General features: G+C 42.0%; 1 protein-coding gene across 3 annotated transcripts in view; it reads right to left on the reverse strand.

Moving 5' to 3' along the window:
• The window catches only part of SERGEF (secretion regulating guanine nucleotide exchange factor), a 225000-nt gene that overhangs the window by 80631 nt on the left and 121923 nt on the right, over positions 1-22446 (reverse strand). For all 3 annotated transcript variants that reach the window (NR_104041.2, NR_104040.2, NM_012139.4), the window contains one exon: positions 9530-9566. Coding sequence is in view for 1 of the 3 variants with exons in the window: in NM_012139.4 (NP_036271.1) it covers positions 9530-9566 (37 nt within the window). In the remaining 2 variants the exon portion in view is untranslated. The remainder of the gene's footprint in view (positions 1-9529; positions 9567-22446) is intronic.

The following is a 22446-nucleotide window of genomic DNA, read 5'->3' on the forward strand; positions in this document are numbered from 1 at the left end:
GCAATTTACGAAATAAAGAGATTTAATGGACTTACAGTTCCACATGGCAGGGGAGGCCTCACAATCATGGCAGAAAGCAAGGAGGAGAAAGTCACATCTTACATGGATGGTGGCAGGCAAAGAGAGAGCTTGTGCAGGGAAACTCCCCTTTTTAAAACCATCAGATCTCGTGAGACTTATTCACTATCATGAGAACAGCATGAGAAAGACCTGCTCCCATGATTCAATTACCTCCCACAAGGTCACTCCCCACAACACATGGGAATTCAATATGAGATTTGGGTAGGGACACAGCCAAACCATATCAGCCATGTTGACCAGGCTGGTCTCAAACTCCTGGCCTTAAGTGATCAGCCTGCCTTGACTTCCCAAAGTGCTGGGATTACAGGTGTGAGCGACTGACCCTGGCCACGTATCCCGATTTTTAGGCAATGCATGACCATACTAGAATAAAATATAAAGAAAGACCATTATACTCTGGAGGAGAGAAGGATTCCCTGACTCAAAATCCAAAAGCCATACAGGAAAAGACTGATACATTTAATCTATAGTAAAATAAAAGGTTGCATGACAAAATATTACAGACAAAATAAACAAAAACATCAAAAACAGAAGATAAAAAGCTGGGAAAATACATTTGCAATTCAAATCACAGAACAATGCCTAATCTCCCTAATATGTAAAGAACACCTAGACATTTATTAGAAAAAGACTGACAATATAAAAGGCTGTCTTAGTCCTTCTGGGCTGCTATAACAAAATACCTTAGACCGGAAAATGTATAAATAATACAAGTTCTGGAGGCTGGGAAGTCCAAGATCAAGGTACCAGCTGATCTGATGGTATATAGTGAGGGCCTATTCCTTTTAGATGGCACCTTTTAAATGTCCTCACATGGCAAAAGGGGTGAACAAGCTCCCTTGGACCTCTTTTATAAGGGTACTAACACCATTCTTGAGGGTAGAGCCCTCATGACCTAATCACCTCCCAAACACCCCACCTCTTAATGCTATCACGTTAGGGAATAAATATCAACATAAAATTTTTTGAAAGACACAAACATTCAGACTCTATAGCAAGGCAAAGGATATTGAGGTAGAAAAAATAATGGCCTCCTAAAGATGTCCATGTCCTAATTCCTAGAGCCTATGAATATGTTTTGTTACATGGCAAGGGGAACTGAGTTATCAGATAAAATTAAGGTTGCTAATTAGCTGATATTAAGACAGGGAGTGATATGGTTTAGCTGTGTTCCCACCCAAAATCTCATCTTGAATTGTAATACCCATAATCCCCACATGTCAAGGGAGAGACCAGGTGGAGGTAATTGAATCAGGGGGGCAGTTTCCCCCATGCTGTTCTTGTGATAGTGAGTAAATTCTCATGAGATCTGATGGTTTTATAAGGGGCTCTTCCCCACTTCATTTGGCACTTCTCCTTCCTGCCACCTTGTGAAGAAGGTGCCTTGCTTCCCCTTCACCTTCCACCATGATTGTAAGTTTCCTGACGCCTCCCCAGCCACACTGAACTGTGAGTCAATTAAACCTCTTTCCTTTATAAATTATCCAGTCTTGGGCAGTTATTTACAGCAGTATGAAAATGTACTAATACAGGGAGATTATGCTGGATTATCCAGGCAGGGATGATGTAATCAGAAAGGTCCTTAAATGTAGAAAAGGGAGGCAGAAGAGTCAGTGTCAGAGTGATGCAGTAGGAGAAAGACTTGAAAAGCTATGGCTGGCTTTGAAGATGGAAGAGGTCATAAGTCAAGGAATATAGGTAGCCTTTAGTAGCTAGAAAGGGCAAGAAAATGAATTCTCTCTGGAACTTCCAGGAAGGAATGAAGGCTGCCAACAGCTTGATTTTAGCCAAGTGAGACCCATCTTAGATTTCTGACCTCAAACTTGAAGATAATACATTTGTCTTGTTTTAAGCCATTAATTTTATGGTAATTTGTTATAGCAACAATGAACAAAACTAATACGGGTGTGAATGAAAAACTCCTCATAAAAGAGAAAATACAAATAGTTCTTGAACATATAAAAAGAAGCTCAACCTTCATTTATAATAACTAAAATTAGACAGATTAAAAAGGCCACAATAATCTTAAAAAAGAACAAAGTAGGAGGGCTTATAATGCTAGATATCAAGATTTATTATAAAGCTACAATAATCAAGCTAGTGTGATACTAGCATACAAACGGAAAAACAAACTAATAAAAAAGAATCTAAAAGCACATCAACACATATATGCAGTCTCTTGATTTATAACAAAGGTACCTCCACAATTCAATGGTAAAAAATGAACTTTTCAATAAATGGTTCTAAATGTTTAAAAAAACTAACTTGAGATGGATTTTAGGCCTAAATATAAAAGGCAAAATAATAAAGCTTCACAAAGAAGACATAAGAATACTTTCATGATCTTGGAATGAGTAAAAATGTCTTAAGTAGGGCACAAATACCTCAAACCATTAAAGGAATGGTCAATAAACTGGACTTCATTAAAATAAATAACTATTCATCAAAAGACACGATTAAGAGAGTAAAAGAGTAAGCCACACGAGGTCAGGAGATAGAGACCAACCTGGCTAACATGGTGAAACCCCGTCTCTACTAAAAAATACAAAAAATTAGCCGGGTGTGGTGGCAGGCGCCTGTAGTCCCAGCTACTCGGGAGGCTGAGGCAGGAGAATAGCGTGAACCCAGGAGGCGGAGCTTGCAGTGAACTGAGATTGTGCCACTGCACTCCGGCCTGGGTGACAGAGCGAGACTCCATCTCAAAAAAAAAAAAAAAAAAAAAGAGTAAGCCACTGGCTGGGAGAAGATGTTTGCAATATGCATATTCAACAACGGACTGGAATCTACAAGATATAAGGGATGCCTGCAAATCACTAAGAGAAACATAGACAAAACCCAACTTAAAACAATGGGCAAAGACTTAAAGTCTTCGGACTTAAGTCTTTGAATTTGACAAAAGAAGCCACCCAAATGGCCTATAAGCATGTAAAAAGGTACTCCACATCATTAGTTATGAGAGAAATGCAAATTAAAATCAGTGAGATTCCACACTGCACACTCAACAGAATTGCCTAAATCTATAAGATTGAAAATATCTGGCGAGAGTATAGCACAAATGGAACTCTCATATTGCTGGTGGGGGTGTAAATTGGTGCAACTACTTTAAACACTGTTGCGCAGTATTTACTAATACTAAATATGAACTAGAATTCCTAGTCTTAATCATGCACCCAAGAGAAATAAATGCACATATCTATCAAAAGGCGTGTATAAGAATGTACGTAGCATCCCCAAACTAGAAACAACCCAAATGTTCAACAGTTAAATGGTTAAATAAGTTGTGGTATATTTATACAGTAGAATATTACCAAGCATTACAAAATTACTGCTACACACAACATGAATGACTCTTACAGACACAATGTGTTGAACAAAAGAAGCCAAACACCATCCACGTGAAGTTCAAACAAAGGCATCTTTGGAGACAGAAGTCAGAAGAATGGTTAGCTCTGGGGGTGGGTTATAGACAGAGATGGAGCATGAACTAGTCTTCCAGGGTGCTGGAAATGTTCTATATCTTGCTCTGGATGGTGTTTTCTTTTCTATATCTTGCTCTGGATGGTGTTTTCTTAAGTACATACATATGTAAAAATTCATCATCTGAACCCTTAAGATTTGTGAACTTTACTATATTATATACGTTATACTTCAACTTAAAAAGATAAACAAAAGCTACCCTGAGTAGTTGCTTACCTATCAGACTGGCAAAAATCCAAGAGTTTCTTAATATATCCTATTAAGGAGGCTGCAATAAACAAGCACCCTTATACCTTGCTAGTGGAAGTGAAAAATGGCATAGCCCCTATGGAGGCCAATTTTGAAGTACATTGCAAAATTACAAATACATTTATACTTTGACACAGTAATTTCACTTCTAGGAACTTATAACTATACTCTCCTCACATGAAATAACATACATAGAAGGTCATTCACTATAGCGTTGCTTATAATAACAAAAGACTAGAAATTACATAAATGTCCATGAACAGGTCACTAGTTAAATAAATCAAGATACATAGGAACTTTGGAATATTATGTAACTGTAAAAAAAGAACTAGGACAGCTTTTATACTGATATGGAAAGATCTCCCAGAAAAATTGTTGAGAAAAATCAGGCACTGAGAAATGAGTATAGTATGCTACCATTTATGTAAAAGGAAGGATAAAAACATATCTTAGTATTCACTTACATATGTAAAAGGACACTAGAAGGATACAGAAGAAACTAGTAACAGGCATTACCTGCACATGTGGTAGAAGGGTTTTGGGGAGCTAGAGAGAGGGGGATAGCATGGAAGGGAGTTTTTCATCTTAAATACTGAAACAAAAAGATGAAGTACTCCTATCTGGTGGCTTTAAAAACAGGCCAGACTGTCACCAGTCTGCAGGAAGGCAGCATCGGTCCACAGGCTCTGAAATTAGAGGTGGGGGTAAAAGACCTAACACACAAATTCTTCCTACTTGTGTGACCTGGGTGGAGTAAACTGCTCACCTTCAGCTTCATTTTCCCGTACCTAGAAGATGGGATTAACCAGAGTACCAGCTCATCAATTTGCTGTGAGGATTAAATGGGATGAGGTAGGTAAAGCATTTACATTCTGCCTATCTCATTGTGCACAGAAACATACAAATTTGTATCTGCCTCTAAGCTCTCTACAAGGCCCTAGGGTTTGGAGATATCACCACTCAGAGGAATATCCAGTGCCAAAAAAAGAGTTATTTCTCTATTTTCCTATTAAATTCTTACATGAAATTGCTTGATGGTTTCATGCCAAGGTTAGATGTTCTGCCATACATATTATAAAGGTACAATGGTTCAACAGTTGAAAATCATCTGTGAAATGAAAAAAAAATCCATGCATATATTATAGCTCCAATTTAGTAAAAGAACTGGCTCTGCTTGGAGGAGGAGGAGGAGGAGGAGGAGGAGGAGGAGGCATCACACTTTCCTGCCAATAACCAACCCTTTAACAATGCCTGTCTGGCAAGCCTGAGTGCTCCAGGAAAGGGCCACCAATAAAATCCTTCCAAGGGTCTGTGTGGAGCAGGGAGAGAGGAAACGCAGTCAGCTCTTTTTTCTCCGCAGGAAGGGAAGACAAAACAACTGCACATCAGGAAGAAGGCAAGCAAATTGCCAATTCAAGCCAAAATAAGCTGCTCCTGGTGGAAGCACAACAGCTGGAGCCAATTCATCCAGACACAGAGGTGAGGGGCCTGAAAGCAGAGCTGGATCTGGGGACCCTGCCTCTGAAAGGCAGGGATCTTCTCAGCAAGTGATGGCCACATGCCCTCAGTTCACCTCAGTCTATGCCCACAAATGGGAGTTAGCCAGTGAGCTTTGTCAGATGTGGAAAGAAATCCTAGGTGGAAAGGAAGAGAGTGAATCAGTGAAGCAGCCAAGTGGACAACACCTGCGGAGCACCTATGACATGGCGGGTACTGAGCATGTACTTGACATACCTATGCCATTGGGAAGAACAACTTCTGGGAGTGGGTATCATGATGTCGATTTTACAAATGAGGAATCAGGCTTGGTGAGGCAGAGTGATTGTACAAGGCATATAGGCAGAGAATGCCCAAGCCAGCCATGGTCAATGGCCTCAGCTCTCTCTTTTCTGATTGTCACCTGAGTCTCTCTATGCTCAGCTCCAACAGTTCTTCCTTAGTCTAAAGCAGGAACTCATACCACTTCACCATTCTGTCTAGTCATGGGGGCACCTGGTGGCAAAGACAAAACATGTCAAGAGAAACTTAATTGGAAAACTAAGGAAGTAACTAAACCAAATTTCAAAAGAAGGGGAACAAAGAAACCCAGAAGCACATAAAGCAGCAGAGTAAAATTTCCATCTTCTCAAGAAACTGAAATGTGGCTTCCATGGGGCTTGCTTCAGGCTGGAACATGCAGGGCCTGAGTCCCTGTCTGGGACAATGAATAGCAGAATCCTGTCCTTGAACAAATCTGGGCTAGGACTGTTTCCAGGGCTGCTTGGATGTGCAGATTCCCCAGTGGGAACCCCAGGCTCCAGTTTACAAATCCATCCTGCAGCTATGCTGAGATCTTGCCATGGACCCTGATATCCAGGCTGGGAAAGACACTTCCTTCTCTAGCTCCTGAGATTCCTACCCTGGCCTCAGGCTTATAATTACTTCCTTCCTTGAGGTCTTAATATAGAATAATAATAATAGCAGCTAACATTTATTGAGTCTTTACTTTTGTGTTAGGCATTGTTCTTAGCACTTTACCTAACAACCCTATGAAGTCAATAATATTATATCCCAGATGAGGTGATCAAGACATAGAGAAGGTAAGCCACTTATACAGGTTACACAGCTTGTAAGTGGAGAAGACAGAATCTGGATCCAGGCAATCTGTCCCCAGTGCCTGAGCTCTTCTTAACTACTACCCATACTACTTCAGGCCACTGGAAATGACAGAATAGAGGAGCAGTTTTGGAAGTCAGGCAGACAGCTCTACTATTTATTGCTGTAACCGTAGGACCAATTCAAACCAAGTAATCACTGCTTAAGTTACAGGTAGTGCAGAGCCAAAGTTACCTGGCATGCTCAGGAGAAAAGCTTTAGCAGCCTAATTGTTAGCATCACCAGCCTGGCTGACCAGCTGCACTGGCATCACCTGGGATTAGTTTAAAATGCCATAAAAGCTTGACCCACTCCCAGATCGGGGAGATGGATTTGAGCGTTGCCTCCCTGTCTCCTTGTCAATTGACTCACAATAAACTTTCTTTTCTCAAAGCCAGTGTCACAGCATTCGCTTCTATGTGCGCTGGGCAGCGAGTCCATTGCTCAGGTAACACTGCTACTTATCTCTACAACCTGTTTAACCCATTTAACTTCTGAGTCTGTTTCGTCTCTACAAAGCAGATACAACAAATATACTTTGAGGAGTTGTGTCCACTAACCTAAGACAGACTAGGTTCTCAATCATGTCCTTTCACCATTCTCTGTTTCACCTCCCTTTCCAAGTTGATTCATCTGTCACACATTCATCAGACATTAAGGTTGCTTATACCCTTGGGCAAAGTTTGGCTGCTTTATGTTCTCTTCTAGTCTAGTCTATAACTATTTTGTGCCTTTTACATGTGGGACACAGCACCAGGCACTGAAGGGCTAGAGTTCAGGGAATGAAACTGAAGGCAGGGAAATCCCTCTAAAGCAGGCAAAGGCAGTAGGATTGAGGGGAGGAGCTCAACCCCATGAGAAACATGGCTTTAAGCTGGCAGGAACTCTTCTTCACCTGCAACTTGTCTCCCTCTTGCTAGCCTCCTGCTAGGACTAACAGGCAGCTTCTTGTAGCTTCCTGTTTCAAAGCCTGCACCCTGCAGGGCACCCACTGAGGGCCTCATTCCTCCAGTGATGGAGAGCCTCTTGCTCCTGGCCACCAGGCAGGTACATATGTGCAGAGCCCTGTGCCTGCACTCACTTTTCCTGACTCTGAAACCATTCATTCAGAAGTCTGTGAGCCAGGTCCCAGGCACTGGGGATAAAATGGAAAATAACAGGTCTGTCCTCAAGTGCTCGCCAGCATGCCCTATTCTCCCACTGCCTCTGATGGCCTCCACACAGGTAACACTGGACACATCTTTCCAGAATGTCATTGTTTCTCTTCCAACAAAGAAATATTTCACTAGAACAGTTACACTAACAAGTATTTCTCCCCTCCCGCTACCCAACCAAGAGAAAAGAGAAACCAAAGGAATTTATATCTGCCAGCCATTTCACATAAATTATCTCACCTAATCACAATAATCCTGAAAGGCGGAATGATTACCCCCATTACAAAGATGAGAAGAATATGGACGCTCACACAGAGATGGAGCCAGTTTGAACCAAGGCTGTCTGCCTGCAGAGTCTTTGCTCCTTCTACAGCCCCAGGCTGCCTACGTCAGCTCAGCCTGCTGCTTTGCTAGCTCTGACCCATTCCTTCATCTGGATTTTGTGCTTTCACAAATTTAGATTCCCTGCCATCTTCTTGTTTATGTTGGTCCCAGGGGAAGCCAGCCTCTCCCAGTCCAGTGATAGCAGTAGCAGCAATGTCCTAGGCACCGCCTTTGACTCTTTTGATTAGCTTGTCTTAATTACACCCAGGCCGAAGCAGTTCCGGTATAAAGTATCTGGTCCTGCTGCAAAGCATGCAGGTTTGCTGTTACATTTTCTAGCTCCTTCTCTAACTCCAGTCCCTGTTACTCCCCACCTCCTCTGCTGTCCTTGGTTCTGCCTCTTTGTACATCATGTTTGGGCCTGCAAAGTAGTGCTTCAAACTACTGCCACCCCAGGCAGCTGAGCCAGTCCAGCTCAATTCAGAAAAGAATGTGTGAGTCTCTGCTAAGAGCCACACACTGCTTTAGGTGCTGTGAATCGGCAAGAAATGAGGAAAACACAAGGGCCTGGCCTGGTAGAAGTTCAAAGTTAGAAGCTAGGAGACAGGAGTGGCCAGGAACAGAAATTATTGACACAAATCAGTCAGTGGTGGGGTTGTAACAAGAGTCCTAAAATATCAGAGCTGGAGGGAAACTTGGTTTTCTGTTTTAACTTCTCCATTTTACAGATGGGGAAACTAAAGCCTAGCGGAGGGCAATTACTTTAACATATAATATCAGGTAATAATAACGAACATTACCAAAGCCCCTCCTAGGAGTTAAGCGTCATTCTATGTGCTTTACATAACTTATCCCTGCAACAACACTATGAGGTAGGCACTATTGCCCTCCCCATTTTAAAGATGAGCATAGAGAAGTCAATACCTTGTCCAAGTTCACATGGCTAGTAAGTAGAAGTCTGTACTGAACTCAGGCAGTCTGGCCCTACACTGCAGTCTCTTTAATGTACTGTGAGATGGAAACTGAGTCTACCTGTGGAAGTTAATGAGAAGCCTTCTTGAATGAATTACTCATAGATCTAATTATGAAAACACTAAACTATGATTATCCAGGGCCAACTAAGAGGAAGCCTCTATTAACCAGAGGTTTGAGTCCAACTGGGAGTTCCTGAGTGCCACTAAATACAAGGCAGCAAGGGCAGTGAGCAGAGCCGCATATTTCCAAAGAAAGAGCCAAACCAATAGGAAAGAACTTAGAATGGGGATTTATTCGAAAAACCAGAAGCAGTCCAATCATTCTTCCTTTTTATGTCTGGCTTTCTACACATGGTGCCCCTCAGCCTGTGAGTTCTTTAATATGCTCAAATGCCACTTCCCGGGCAGGGAGGCCAGCTCAGGTACCTTAAAAAGATGCTCAATGATATGAATCGAAATATTCAGAAAAGGAGCTTCTAGTAAACCCTTGGTCAACCAAAAACTTCCATTTCCCCCAATCTCCCCTAACACACATGCATGAGTGCACGCACCATGGCTTTTGGTTAACCAAAAGTCTTCTCCAATTCTGCCACATGATTTTCAGAAGAAACAGTTATCAGTATAAAAATTACTTACCAATTATTGCCAAATTATGCTCTGAGCCACAAGAGACCTGTAAAAAAAAAAAAAGACAAAGAAAATGGATAGATATTTCAGCCAGTATATTTTATAATCATAGTTCTTTTCTAATGACACTAACATCCATTTTTGGCAAAATTTAGGAAGGAAATAGAAAGAAGCATCACATACAAAAGTTAAGATTATAATTACAACACATTCACAGCTACATAAAAAGAAAATAAAAAAAATATTGAATGGAAATTCATCAGATATTAAAGTTGTCTTTAGCTAGTGAGACCATGAGTAATTTTTTAAACCCTTTCTTCCTTTTACTTTTTGTATTTTTCAAACTTTCTAAAATGAGCATATGTTACTGTAAAAATGGAAAGATAAGGCAATAAAGATAACAGTTTTTGAAAACTGAACTAAAAAGACCATCCCTCTCGTATGGACTGATAAAATGAGCAAAGAATTCAGTGGAAACAGACTGGTCTGTGGAGAAATGTTTGACTTTTTCTCATCTGTCCACTCTCCCTTTCACCTACCAGCCACACAAACTATATGCAGTTCTTTCAACACGTCATGTTCTCTCACACCTCTAGCCCCTTGCACATGCCTCTTCCTCTACCCAGAATGTCCTCTCCTCTACTGCATACCTAAAAAATTTCTACTTATCCTTTAAAATCTCAAAGTATCTACTAAGACTTCTTTGCTGTTGCTTCTAGGCAGACTCAGGTGCACCTGTCCTTATGCCCTTAAATGTACCCCCACCGTAGCAACCATCTTGTTGCCTTTTATCATTGTTTCCTGTCCTCTTATGAGACTACATCTATTTTGAGAACATGGTTGAGTCTCATTCACCTCTGTATTGCACAGATGGATTGGACAAGGCCTGGGATTCAGTTAACATCTGCTAAATGAGGGAATGAATGAAAGAACAAAGTACATAAAAGAACAAATACCTAATACATAAAAGACAATTTTTGGCTTTCTGAATCCAGAGTTTCCAACCAGTGGGAGATACTTCTTGCCCTTCAGTCTCCATATGTCCCAACTGCTAGCAGGAGGAAGTGACTGGGAATACAAAGGCATAAATGGTTCCCCAGGACTAATTAAGAGGAGCTCTAGGCTTTAGAGAATTATCCTGTGACCTTTATCAGGATACTCACTTTAGCTCCTGGCAAGAGGAATGTTTCAAGTACTCTGGAATGTTAATACTGGAAGGGCCCTGGAGATCACCTATGTTATGAGAAGATGGAGGCTTGGGAGGGAGAAATAACTTACTTACCTCAGGTCCCAGGGCAAGTCTGTGACAAAACTAAGACTAGAGCCACCATTCTATCCTCTACTTCTATGAAATCAACTTTTTAAATTCATGTATGAGTGATTCCTTATTGAATGAGATCATGTGGTATTTGTCTGTCTGTGCTTGACTTATTTTACTTAAAATAATGTCTTCCAGGTTCATCCATGTTATTATATATGACTACAGTTAATCTATTATATTCTTGAAAAATTCTGAAAGTAGATTTTGTTTTCTCACCACAAAAATGACAACTATGTGAAGTAATATATGTTAATTAGCCAGTTTAGCCATTCCACCATGCGTATATATTTCAAAACATCATATTGTATACAGTAAACATATACAATTTTATCTGTCAATTAAAAAAATAAAATAAAAAACTAAGACTAGAGCCACTCTGATTCTCTTAATTCTCCCACAAGTTCCTTTGGTAGTGTTTCTCATTCTCTCCTAGTGAAAACCACTTGGAAGTAATATTCAATGGTTCTTAGCTCAGGCCCCTGACAGTGTAGCTCAAAAGGCATTTCAGCATTAGAAGCCAATCTGCACATTCATAGGTGAGAAGGGGCAGCAAGGCCTCCTAGGCTTTTTCCTGTGTAGAAGCTGTGCTTCCCAGATCCCAGCTTCCACAGGGAAAAGGGTTACCCACACTTAAGTGGACTCCCTGACAGTGCTTAATTACCAGTAAGTATTTCCAGGTTGTTTAGTCTCTGAGCTCCTTTAAGGCTGGCTCTGTGTCTGATTGACCTGAGGGCTCCCACTATGCCTCACTCAGGACCATATATGCAGCACAAGTTCATTATATGCTTCCTGGCTGTAATGAGGCTGGTTCTCTAGGTCTGTTACAGGAAGATATTTCGATTGAAGAACTGGAGAAAACTCAGATGTCGAACAATTGGGAAATGCTTATGTAAATTATGGTAGAGCCATCTGATGGACTAATATGCAGCCTCGGAAAATGATGCTTATAATAATAGGAAAATATTCATGATATGAAAAATTACATAAAAATTGTATATGTAATATGATCTCAACTCTATAATAAAGCATGAATAAGAATGGAAGGAGATACATCAAAATGTTAACAATGAGTATGATTTTTCTTTTTCTTTTTTTCTATACTCCGAATTTTATACAAAATTTTTATAATTAGGGAAAAATCTATTAAAAACTAGAAAAAATAAGTGTAATGCAGTTACCACCACAGAGAAAAAAACCCACCTGGGTATAAAATATACATGCTATAAAATCAGGAATGTTTAGAAGTAGTGGGGGAAAAGGATTTGAAGGAAATTTAAATTATAAGGGTAGCTGCATCATGGTGGTAAGATTGTAAGATATTTTTTCTACTATTCTCTATTTTCCAAATATTATTTAACTGTGGTGGCAGTAGTAGTGGTGGCTAGGGCAACAGTAACTGTAGGAATTAAAGCCAGCATATATTGAGGATTCATACATGCCAGGTGTCATGCCAAGGTACTTTATAAACATTATCACATTTTAGTCATCACAACAATCTTTTCAGGTAAGTTCCACTTTGCTTATTTGAGACATAAGGAGACTGAGGCTCATACATATTAAATAACCTTCACAGCTAGACAAGTGGCAGCAGCAGAACTAAAACCCAGGTCTGCCTGATCTCCAAGCTAGTGTTCTTTACTGCTACATCATGTTACTTTTGTTATTGTTTTAAAGTTATTTTATTTTACAAAATGCAGAGAGAGAAAAGCCCTGCTTCTGACTGCTGGGGTTCACCCTGGGGCTGTGACTGTAGAGCTGACCAGCCTTGAGGACCAGGGGCTTCCAGAAACAAGCCATTGACAAATGTCAGTATCAGACAGCACATTAATGAATGAGACAGTGATGAATTGATTTTGTCAAACCAATGTAGAGCTTGAAGCTCAAAGTTCCCCACTGCTTCTTGCTGTCTGTGTGCTGGCATAGAGGTCAGGACACTGAACACCACAGGCTGCAAAATCCCAGTGTTATACTCCCTCAGTGAAACTGTATCAATGACCATTTGCTTCATAATGCTCCTGTCAGCATCTACCCACTGCTCAGCTGCAGGCAGCTTTCTAGAAGATGCTGTTAACAATGGCAATGCGCCCAAGAGAAAGAGATTCAGGACCAGGAAGCTAGATGAGTCCCAGGTCCTCCTCTTTCTGGCTCTGAGACCTAAAGGGCAAGGTATTTGATTTGACCTCTTGGGCCTCAGTGTTCTGAGGTGTAAAAAGTAGATAACAGTGTCTTCCCTGCCTGCCTTACAGACTCGCTAGAGGACAAATGAGACAATTTATCCCCTTACAGCCATGCATCCTGCCTTCCTCATGCACAAATCTGACCATGTCATGCCCATGTATAAAACCTTCACAGGATCCCAGTGTTGGTAGGATAAAGCCTAAAACATCTTACAAGGCCCTCATGAATAGGTCCCTGTTTACCTCTCTGGCCTCATTTCCTCCCTCTGCTACTCATGAACCTTCAAACCAAATAATATAATCCTTTTGTTCTATTCACATCACATTACTTTTCTCTAAGAACATCACGCAATTTCAGGCCTTTATGCATGCTATGCTCCTTGCCTGAAATTTGCTTTCTCCCACTGTCTACCAAGGTAAATCTTTTAAGACTGCTCAGCCGGGTGTGGTGGCTCACGTGTGTAATCCCAGCACTTTGGGAGGCCAAGGCGGGGGGATCGTTTGAGGCCAGGAGTTCGAGACCAGCCTGGCCAACATGGTGAAACCCCGTCTCTACTAAAAATACAAAAATAATTGGTGGGGCGTGGTGGCGGGTGCCTATGATCCCATCTGCTCAGGAGGCTGAGGCAGAAGAATTGCTTTAACCTGGGAGGTGGAGGTTGCAGTGAGCTGAGATCATGCCACTGCACTTGAGCCTGGGCAACAGAGCAAGAGTCAGTCTCAAAAAAAAAAAAAAAAAAGAAAAAAAAAGACTGTTCAAACATCACCTCCTGGTAAAGCCTTCCCTGACTTCTTCAGGCAGAGCCAGCTGCCCCGTCCTGGCTATTCCCACAGCACTATGTATCATGGCCCTTATCCCACTATGATGTCTGATCAGACTGTGCATGTGTTAGGTCCTCTGTCTCTCAGACATCTAGAAGACTGCCTGCTCAGTAGTCTTTCTGCACACAATCTAAGTACAGGGCATGGGGGTGAGGAGATGGCAGTACAAAGAGAAGGGACTCAGGGAAGGTATATGATCCCAAAGCAAGTATAAGCAGCAGTGTGGCCAATCCAGTCCAATTGGAGACAGACCCTGACATGCACAATGGGGACAAGGAGACAGCATTAGAAGGATACAGCATGAAGATGCTGGGGGCACTGAAAGCAGAGTAGGGTTCTTCTGGCAACTCCAGCACAGCAAAGCACAGAAGACTGTAACAGAAGTCAGTTACAGGAAACAGGACCCCACTATAGAAAAAGCAAGTTCCAGCTTGCTGATTGGGGCCTTCTGGAGAAGGGGGACACAACTCCCCAAGGGTAAGGGGTGAGAAGCAAAGGTGGCTGTGGAAAGCTGCTCTGTCTTAGTGCTTCCCAGAAATGAGAGAGGTCTGCTCTGTTCAGGGACCTCAGCCTGCGAAGTCAGAGCTGCAAAAAACAAATTCCGAAACCCCAATGCCAGAGGGATAAGATCTCCCACCCACCCACCAGGCTAGACTTCATCAGTTCTTGCAAGGCCAGTTAAAACTCTCCTAGGGGTGGGGTCTTAGAAAATACAGCTGGACCAGGGCAAGAGCTGACTGATAATATGCTCAGTAAATACATGTTGAATGCATTAATGAGTTAAAACAAACGAATAATTTAAGCAAAAATTGGATGAATGTGAAAATGCTTGCCAACTGTTGGATGTGAGTACTTTGGTTCTTAGCAGTACAGTTGTACCTGTTTGTAAAAACAGCTGACTGGCTCTTATAGAATACTTATAGGCCAGGCACTTGGCTAACTGCTTTACCTATATTATCTCATATAGACTTACACAAAACCTAAGAGATTCCTTTGTTACAACCATTTTACAGATGAAGCTGCTGGGGTTCAGGGAAGCAAGGTAACTTGTGCAGTGTTTCACAGCTAGCGGAGGTGCAGGATTCTGTGATCCTTCAGGTTCAAGCTTTCTTCCTCAAAACGGTATGTACCCTTCTTTTTCTCATATTAGATGGAAATAAACCACCCATCCAGTTCCCTTACATCTGGCAAGCCCAGTGCCAGGGACGTAAGCCTGGGAGAGCCCTAGATTTATAGGACCCAAACAACATCCTGCCTAGGGCTAGGAGTGCCCACCTCTGGAATGATCAAGGAGCTGTTTCCAGGGATATTTCTTAGGGGAACGGCTGCAAAGTGGCAACAAAGTTCTGTCGCCTGCCCTCCTCATGGATACCCATGGCGACAGAACGCCGCCAGATTGTTCAAATCTGAACATTCTAAACGGGGAAATCGGGGCGCGGAAGAGTGGGGTGGGAAACGAACACCGGGTTGCGGACCAGAACTCAGGGTCAGGTACGCCAAGGAGAGGAAGTGAGGCGAGGCCAGCCCCACGCCACCAGCCAGGGGCCGCTTTCCTCTACCAGAGAGGGGTAGCCAGCCGCAGCCCAAAGGCCACCCAGGGTGCCAGATGGACAGCGAGGCCTGCTGATTGGTTCTCGCCGGGTGCCAATGAGCCCGGGCGCCTTCAGGTGCTATGGCAACGAGGCGTACGTGCGGAAACACATGATGGCCAGGGTGGAAGGGGAGTAACGGGGTTTAGGTTGGTACGGTACTGGGTTATGCTCTGTGCCGCACTGCGAGCCCTTGGCGGGCACAGCCGCCAGGGTGGGAGAAGCGTACCAGAAGCAGCTCCAGAATGGCAGCCCCAGCTGGCTGGGCAGCCTGCGCCGCCTGGGTTAACAGGGCGAGGGAATGGGCGTCTCGGTGCCGCCTTTGCTAGAGCTCTGCCCAAACCCGGTTTCCATCCGTGTATCTCTGGGGTGACAACCAGAATTTCCAAACTATTAGAAACGCAGTGCTTGGAAGCTGGGCACGTTTTACAGGCACACTGCAATCCAGTGAGCCACCAGAGTTCCACCTCTAAGCTCAGAAATGGTCCCAACTGGGGAAGGCCATGGCGACACCAGAGAGGCAGCACGGCTGTTTGCTTCTGGAAGAACCTAGCCTTACTAAGATATCTTTAACTCTCTCTGTGGGCTTGAATTTGTATTTTATTTCATATATATGTGTATATGTTATATATACATTTTTAAAAAAAGCACATTGTATGTATGCCTGTGAAAAAAATGAGCTTGAACTAGGTTCTGCTATCTTCCAGAGAAGTTGGGGTGAGAAGAAGAGAGCTAAAGTTTGGTTAAGTGCCTGGATGTCAAGCATGTGACATTATAGAATTTCACTTTACCTGCAATACCTCCCATCTTCACAGCCACTCTGAGAAGTGGGAATCTGTCTCCCTACATAGCAGGCCAGCAAACCCGCTCAGAGCAGTTAAGTCACTGGTCCCAGGTCTGCTTTGGTCCAAAGCCTGTAAGCTAACTCACTACACATACTGCCTCCTCCTCCTCTGATACTCTCCTCTTTTGATACAGAGTGTCCCTGTCACAAAGGCTCAAACTCTCAAGTGACAGTTCTAACTCTTTTCCTTATCTCTCTCCCACCCTTATATTTAGGCTGTCTCCAGATCCTGTTAATCCTGCCTTCTCAATGGTTCTCAAGTCTGACTTATTTCCAGCTGCTATCATCTTAGTTTAGTCCTTTTCGCCTCAGCCTGGAGTCTTAGCAACCAATGACTTTAAGCTTTCTTCTCACCATAATATCATGATCTGATCTGTTTTTGTTTTTAGAGACAGGGTCTTGCTCTATTGCCCAGGCTGGAGTGCAGTGGTGTGAACCTAGCTCACTATAACCTCGAATTCCTGGGCTCAAGCGACCCTTCTGCCTTAGCTTCCTGAGTAGCGAGGACTACAGGTACACACCACTATGCCTGGCCAATTTTTTTTTTTACTTCTTGTAGGAACAGGATCTCATCATGTTGTCCAGACTGCTTGAACTCCTGGCTTCAAGCGACCCTCCTCCCTCGGCCTCTCAAAGTTCTGGGATAACAGGCATGACCCACCGTACATGCATGGGCATGATCTGATTTTTTTTTTAATTAAAGTTGTCACAGTTATCAAAGTCTCATTACTGTTTAACACACATTTTACCACTCCTTTCCTAAATAAACCCTCTAACCCAGCAACACGAGTCTCTTTTCTGTCTCTGGAAAAATCTCATTTCCCCCACTTTTGTATCTTCATTTGTACCATTCTCCCTTCTCCATACCATTCTAAATCCAACCAACTCTACAAGGCCTAGTTCAAAACCTGAGGCAGTCCCCCAGATCACCTCAGCCTTTAGGAGATCTGCCTCCTCTCAATTCTCACCACTTGCCTTGGCTATAGTTTGCTTTTATCAAATCTCCTTTGTGCTTTTAACAGCTTGGACACGAGTATGGGGCATGTCAGTGTGAGGTAATGGAGAGAGTTCTGGATATGGAACCAGAAAACCTGGATTTAAGTCCTGATGCCCCCCGCCCCCACTTCCTAGCCATGTGACTTTGGGTAAATCTCTTTGCCTCCCTCTGGCCCTCAGTTCCCTCATCTGTAAAACGGAATTCAAACAACCAGGTATACCTCACGCATCCTAACCTCTGCTATCTACAGAATAAAATTCACTTTGGGCTTGACCCTGTTCTACAGATACATTTTAGGACTTATATATTATTTGAGAACATATGAAAGGAGACTATAAGCATTAGCAACTGGCATAGGTTCACTATGAAGAGTTCTTCAAGCTGGACACGGTGGCACACATCTGTAATCCCGGCACTTTAGGAGGCTGAGGCAAGCAGATAGCTTGAGCTCATGAGTTCAAGACCAGCCTGGGCAACATGGCGAAACCCTGTCTCTACAGAAAATACAACAAAATTAGCCCGGCGTGGTGAAGTGTGCCTGTAGTCCCAGCTAGTTGGAAGACTGAAGTGGTGTGGTAGGATCACTTAACCTGGGAGGCGAAGGTTGCAGTGAACCGAGATCATACCACTGTACTCCAGCCTGGGCGAGTACTAAAAGCGAGACTAAAAACAAAACAAAACAAACAAACAAAAAAACCTTCTTCAGTATAAACAGTTCATTTCCTTTTCCAATAGTTTATTGACAGATAAGGAGAGGGCTTGAGAAATGTCTACTGAATTAGAATATAATATACACAGTAATTAGGCTATAATATATACAATTAAACTAGCCAGGCAGTCAGACTGCTTGCTTTTCCCATAGTGCCCTTCTAAGGGAATGTCTTCATCATAAATGGCCGTGTTGATACCATGCAGTCCTGCTTCCTGGGGCCAAACCTAATTGGACTATGGATGGACACCTGTCTCAATGTGGATTAATGCATAGATTGACCACAGCCTGTGAAACGGCTTAGTGAAAATTCTGCCTTGAAACAGTTCTAGGGAGTGAGTCCTCCAGTTGGTAGCTGGAGCAGTAGCTGGAAGAAATAGACACAAGGAAGGTTAAGATGAGGAGGAGGTACAAGCAGAGGAGTCAGAAGCAGCAGGAAGGAACAGTAAAGTGAAGCTAAGTCACCAGGATGTGAGTTCTAAAGGAAGAATCAATAGATCCTACTGCTGAGGGCTCAAGAAGGTTTAGGCTTTTGAGTTGCCTTGGGTTCTAAATGACTTTCCCATTGTTCTTTTATAAGGCATTTGCTTCACCTGTTTTCCTCACTTATGCTAAAGTACAATACAGTCTTCACAATAATAATCTGCTAATATCTCTGGTCCTTGCCAACTAAAAAAGCCTAACACAACAATACATCTGGATTTCAGTAAAGGCATGCCACCAAGTTACTTAAGTTACTCAGTACTTGTACTGAGAACAAAATGGAACCATGTGAGTTGGACAATCAAACTAAAAGACAGGCAATTAATAGATTCAGGCCAGGTAAATATCCTATGGCAGGCTTCTCAGAAACAATTTAACCCTTTCCCTAGTAGCCATGATAGGTTAAAATTAAAAGACTGTCAACACCAAGTACTAACGAGGATGTGAAATAACTGGAACTCTTACACTGCTGACGGGAGTGTAAATTCAACAACTGCTTGGAAAAACTGTCTGGCAGTATCTACTAAAGCTAAACACATATGTGGACACTCAAGTACCCAAAATAAATTATTGCTTACTTCTATCAAAAGGCATGTACAAGCATGTTCATAGCAGTTTTATTCATAATAAAAATATGAAATAACACAAATATTCATCATCAGTATAATGGATACAGTGTAGTTCATTCAGAATACTTTACAGCAGGGGTCCCCAACCCCTAGGCTGCAGACTGGTAAAATTCCACGGCCTGTTAGGAACCAGGCCACACAGCAGGAGGTAAGCAGCAGGCAAGGGAGCGAAGCTTCATCTGTATTTACGGCTGCTTCCCATCGCTCACATTACCATCTGAGCTCCGCCTCCTGTCAGATCAGCGGTGGCATTAGATTCTCATATGAGCACAAACCCTATTGTGAACTCCGCGTGGGAGGGATCTAGGCTGCGCAATCCTTATGAGACTCTAACTAATGCCTGGTGATCTGAGGTGGAACAGTTTCATCCCGAAACCATCCCATCCCCACCTCTTCCAGGAAACCGGCCCCTAGTGCCAAAAAGGTTGGGGACTGCTGCTTTACAGCAGTGGGGGGAAATATTGATATTCACAACATAAGTAAATCTTTAAGAATAATAATATGAAACTCAAAAGTAGGCAAAACTGATTTCAAATAAATAATATAACTGCTCTGAAGGGGGTCAGAATAACTCTTGAACACAGTACTTTGACTAAATAACTTCTGTTTACAAACAAACAATGCAAAAAAAATTTAACTACTTTGTAGGTTATTTTCTTTCATTGCATGCGTGTATCAATTCTGAAAGTATTTTGTATATATTGTGGGACCATGCAAATGAGGAAATATATGAATGTTGCTAGGAGCCAGAATGCTCACTGTAGTTGAAGGAAACACAAATATAGAATGAGAGAAGGCAAAGAGAAACCCTGTGGATATCAGGTTAGAATTAGAGTTATCAGTATGAACTCACAGTTTTACACACACACACACACACACACACACACACACACACACACACACACACACGCATTGAGTTAAACCAACATGAAATTGCCCAGCAGCACTGACACCCCAGCAGCAATGAGTTTACTTGGTGCACAGACCCTGGCTTTTAAATACCATTCAACTAAGAGGGATCAGAGCTCCTCGGAGAAAAGGCTGATTCTAGGGTTGGGATGAGGAAAGAACAGTTTGAGCCTGGAACATGTATTTGTACCACGAAGTAAGAAAGTGATAAAAGAGTAAAGGAGACGTGTCAAAAGGAAACTAGCCAGCCTGAAACAGCTCCCACTAGCTAAATCAGGGAGAACTTGAGCTCCAAAATGAATAATGACAGTAGATTATAGCCCATTGAATAAAATAAAAATCCACTGTATATACTGAGCAATAGATAGATAGGGAAGCAGGGAAAGCTCTTTCTTATAGTAGGATGCCAAAAATAATAAATGTAAAAGAATAATTGGGCTAGAAAATAATTTTGCAATCATTAGTTAATTCAGACAAGAATCATCAATGCATGTTAAAACTACTGGGCAAAAGTCTGAAGAGGAAAAGGGTATTCACATAGTCTTAAAGTATCTCTTCACAGATTACTTCTTAATTACAAAGGATAAATGGTAGCCTTATAGCAGAGAAAGGAGGCAAGCACCACCTTACACAAGAAATGTAGGTTAGAATCACTAATAATGTGCCAAACTGACATCAGGTGCCTCCTCATATGATGCACTAAAGACAGACACAACATCACTTATTTAGTATTCCTGCCAAAAGTGTGTAAGTGAAATCCAATCATGAGGAAAAATCAGATAAAACCAATTGAGGGACATTATATACAAAACAACTGTCCTGTACTCTTAAAAAATGTCAATGTCATAAGAGATAAAGAAAAGCTATTCCAGAATAAAGGAGGCAAGGGGACATGACAACTAAATGCAATATATGATTCTGAACTGGATGCTAGATCAAAGTGAAAAATTGTCATAAAAGACATCATTGAGACAACTGGAAAAATATACAGAAGCTCTGTAGATTAGATAAGAGTATTCTATCAACGTTAAATTGTTTTAAAAAGAGAGAGGACACAAATGTGGCAAAATGTTAATACATTCTGTGTCTGGGTGAAGGGATTTGTGGAATTCTTTATATTATTCTTGCAACTCTTCCGTGAGTTTGAAATCATTTCAAAATAAAAAGTTAAGCAAAATTAATCTGTGGTGAAAGTTTAGAATAATGGTTATTTTGGGATAGGTATATCCAGGAAGCTTACTGAAGTGCCTAATTTGGGTGATTACATGGGTGCATACAAATATAAGAGGTCACTGAGTTGAATATTTAAGATCTGTGCATTTTACTGTAGGTAAGTTACACTTCAACCAAAAAAAAAAAAAAAAAAAAAAGACAGGATAGCTTCCTTCTTAAGCCTAAGTGAGGAAAGTGGCCAAGCATCAGAACCTACATGAGAAAAGTGGCTAAGAAGGGGCAGCAGGGTCCCAGTGAAGGTTCAGAGCCTGGCTGGACAGCTGTGGCCTGGTGGGGAATCAACCTGTGCAAGGAAGGTAGTCAGCAGGACTGTGATGCAATGGGTCGGTTTCATACAGGAGAACTGAGCAAGTAAGTAAATGTATTGAAGATAATGGGAGCCAGGTTTCTCATAGTCAGGGAAATGAATTACAACTGAAAGAGTGAGATATAGAAGGAACTCTGTAGTGCTGCATTATAACTAAAGACGCTGGCGTGAACTCATTATTTTCAAGGCAGACAGAGAAACAGAAATATATATAGAAAAGTAGGGCTGTGTGTGTGTGTGTCTGTATATGCACAAACTCATGTTTTTCTCACGTTTTCTCTCACATGTTTTCTCAGCTTTGTCCACTGAGGGAGGCTGTGAGCAGCAATCTCCAATGATACAAGCACACCCAGACCTGAGATTGATGGACTGATTGATTTTTTGTAGAGATGGGGTCTTATGATGTGGCCCAGACTGGTCTCAAACCCCTGGGCTCAAGCGATACTCCCACCTCCCAGGCTCCCAAAGTGTTGAGATTACAGGCATGAGCCACTGCGCCTAGCTGATTTTTATTTCTAAAAATCATTCTCCACTAAAAAATTATTCTTGGAGAAATGGCTGATTCTAGGACTGAGGCAGGGAAAGTATAAGATGAACCTGTAACATCTTGTGTCAGAGAGCAAAAAAAAGTGCTCAAAAAATGATGGGGGCATGTCAAATGACACAGAAGCAAACTTGAAGGGGTTCCCACTGGCTAAATATAAGACAATTTGAGCATCAAAATAAATAATGATACTCATTGGAATATAAGCCAGAGACTAAAACAGAAATCTTCCTATGTGAAGCTCTTACCTAGAGGCATCTTGTGGTTTACCAAGGAATATGGCCCTCAATTTGGCCTAACTAAACTTCTGATCAACAAATTGGATAAAGACTGAAGGTTTGCTTACTAAACACACAGAATTT

Source organism: Homo sapiens, chromosome 11 (genome assembly GCF_000001405.40).
Source record: "Homo sapiens chromosome 11, GRCh38.p14 Primary Assembly".
NCBI classification, from domain to species: Eukaryota; Metazoa; Chordata; class Mammalia; order Primates; family Hominidae; genus Homo; species Homo sapiens.